The 3,073-nt window shown below is 43.0% G+C and overlaps 1 annotated feature.

Annotated features, from left to right (window-relative positions):
• Positions 1,131-1,632: an enhancer, noted in NCBI's record as "H3K27ac hESC enhancer chr7:39954013-39954514 (GRCh37/hg19 assembly coordinates)". NCBI's record gives its function as "activates a minimal SCP1, AML or CMV promoter by ChIP-STARR-seq in naive H9 embryonic stem cells {active_cell/tissue: H9 hESC(naive)}" and the evidence as "EXISTENCE:reporter gene assay evidence [ECO:0000049][PMID:30033119]".

The raw sequence follows: 3,073 nt of genomic DNA on the forward strand, positions 1-3,073 counted from the left end.
GAAAAAGAGATACCATGCAAATGGAAACCAAAAGTGGGCAGGAGTAGCTATTCTTAAATAAGACAGACTTTAAACCTAAATATATATGCTCCTAACTCTGGAGCTCCCAATTCATAAAACAATCACTACTAGAGGTAAGAAGAGATAGACAGCTACACAATAATAGTGGAGAACTTCAACACACCACTGTCAGCACTAGATAGATCATTGAGGAAGAAAGTCAACAGAGAGACACTGAACTTAAACTTCCCTCTAGAAAAAAATGGACCTAACAGACATTTACAGAACATTCTAGCCAAGAACTGCAGAATATACATTCTTCTTATCACCACATGAAACACTCTCAAAGACAGACCATATGGCCAAAAAACAAGTCTCAATAAATTATTAAAAATTGAAATCATATCAAGTAACTTCTCAGACCATAGCAGAATACAACTAGAAATCAATTCCAAAAGGAACACTCAAAACTATACGAATACATGGAAATTAACCTATCTGCTCCTGAATAATTTTTAGGTTAACAATGAAATCAAGATGAAAGATTTTGTTTGTTTGTTTGTTTGTTTGTGATAGGGTCTCACTCTGTCACTCAGGCTGGTGTGCAGTGGCGCAATCTTGGCTCACTTCAGCCCCAAACTTCTGGGCTTAGGTAATCCTCCCACCTCAGCCTCCTAAGTAGCCGGTACTACAGGCACACACCACCATGCTTGGCTAAGCTGTTAATTTTTTATAGAGACAAGGTCTCACTATCTGCCCCGGCTAGTCTCAAACTCTGGGGCTGAAGCGATCCTCCCACTTTGGCCTTCCAAAGTGCTGTGATTATAGGTGTGAACCACTATGCCCAGCCTCAAGATGAAAATTTGAAAATTCTTCAAAATTGTTAACAGCTGGGCATGGTGGCTCATGCCTGTAATCCCAGCACTTCAGGAGGCCAAGGTGGGCAGATCACTTGAGCCCAGGAGTTTGCGACCAGTCTGGCCAACATGGTAAAACCCTGTCTCTACTAAAAATACAGAAAATTAACCAGTCATGGCGGTGCATGCCTGTGGTCTCAGCTACTCGAGCAGCTGAGGCACGAGACTTACTTGAACCCAGGAGGTGGAGGTTGCAGTGAGCTGAGATTGTGCCACTGTACTCCAGCCAGGGTGACAAAGTGAGACTCTGTTTTAAAAAAAAAGTAATGATAACAATGACACAAGTGATCAAAATCTCTGGGATACAGTAAAACCAGTGCTAAAAGGAAAGTTTATAGTACAAAATGCCTACATTAAAAAACGTAGGCTGGGTACAGTGGCTCACGCCTGTAATCCCAGCACTTTGGGAGGCCAAAGCGAGAGGATCATCTGAGGTCAGAAGTTTGAGACCATCCTGACCAACACAGTGAAACCTCGACTCCACTAAAAACAAAAAATTCACCAGGCATGGTGGCACATGCCTGTAATCACAGCTACTCAGGAGGCTGAGGCAGGAGAATTGCTTGAACCCGGGAGGCCGAGGTTGCAGTGAGCTGAGATCACACCATTGCACTCCAGCCTGGGCAATAAGAGCGAAACTCCGTCTCCAAAAAAGTAAATAAATAAATAAATGTAAAAGATGGGCCAAGTATGGTGGCTTATGCTTGTGATCCCAGCACTTTGGGAGGCCAAGGCAGGTAAATCACTTGAGGTCAGCCTGGCCAACATGGCAAAACCCCATCTCTACTAAAAATACAAAAATTAGCTGGGCATAATGGTGCATGCCTGTAGTCCCATCTACCCAGGAGGCTGAGGCAAGAGAATTGCTTGAACCTGGGAGGCAGAGCCTGCAGTGATCCAAGGTCATGCCTCTGCACTGCAGCCTGGGTGACAGAGCAAGACTCTGTCTCAAAAACAAAAACAAAAAAAACAAAGTAAAAGACCACAAACTTAAAACCTAACATGACACCTCAAGGAAATAGAAAAACAATAACAAACTGATTAAGAAACAAACCATCCTAAGGAAAAATAAAACCAAGAACAAACCAATCCAAAACTAGCAGAAGAAAAAGAATAACAAAGATCAGAGCAGAACTAAATGAAATTGAAACCAAAAAATACAAAACATCAATGAAATGTAAAAGCTGGTTCTTTGAAAAGATAAACAAAATTGATAGTCCATTAGCTAGATTAACCAAGAAGAGAGAAGACTTAAATAAGCTCAATTAGAAATGAAAATGGAGACATTGCAACTGATATGCAAAACGACACAACCACATTGGAAGGCAGTTTCACACTTTCCTTCCTTCCTTCCTTCCTTCCTTCCTTCCTTCCTTCCTTCCTTCCTTCCTTCCTTCCTTCCCTCCCTCCCTCCTTTCCTCCTTTCCTCTTTCTTTCTCTTTCTTTCCTTTTCTTTCTCTCTCTCTCTCTTTCTTTCTTTCTTTCTTTCTTTTTCTTTCTTTCTTTCTTCTTTCTTTCTTTCTTTCTTTCTCTTTCTCTCTCTTTCTTTCTTTTTGATGTAGTTTTGCTATTATTGCCTAGGCTGGAGTGCAATGGCACAATCTCAGCTCACTGCAACTTCTGCCTCCTGGGTTCCAGTGATTCTCCTACCTCAGCCCCCCAAGTAGCTGGGATTACAGGCGCCCGCCACCATGCCCAGCTACTTTTTTGTATTTTTAGTAGAGATGGGGTTTCACCATATTGGCCAGGCTGGTCTCAAACTCCTTATCTCAGGTGATCCACCCGCCTTGGCCTCCCAAAGTGCTGGTATTACAGGCATGAGTCACCGTGTCTGGCCAGTTTCACAGTTTCTTATGAAATGAAAGCATGTAACACATAGCTATTACCATCCCTGCTTCTGAGACAGGTCATGAAGTCTAAGCAGGTGATAACCATAACTGCTGTCTTCTTTTTTTTGAGACAGAGCTTCGCTCATTTTTTTTTTTGAGACAGAGTCCCGCTCTGTCACCCGGCTGGAGTGCAGTGGTGAGATCTCGGCTCACTGCAAGCTCTGCCTCCTGGGTTCACGCCATTCTCCTGCCTCAGTCTCCTGAGTAGCTGGGACTACAGGCGCCTGCCACTGAGCCCGGCTAATTTTTTTTTTGTATTTTTAGTAG

This window comes from Homo sapiens, chromosome 7 (genome assembly GCF_000001405.40).
Source record: "Homo sapiens chromosome 7, GRCh38.p14 Primary Assembly".
Taxonomy (NCBI): domain Eukaryota; kingdom Metazoa; phylum Chordata; class Mammalia; order Primates; family Hominidae; genus Homo; species Homo sapiens.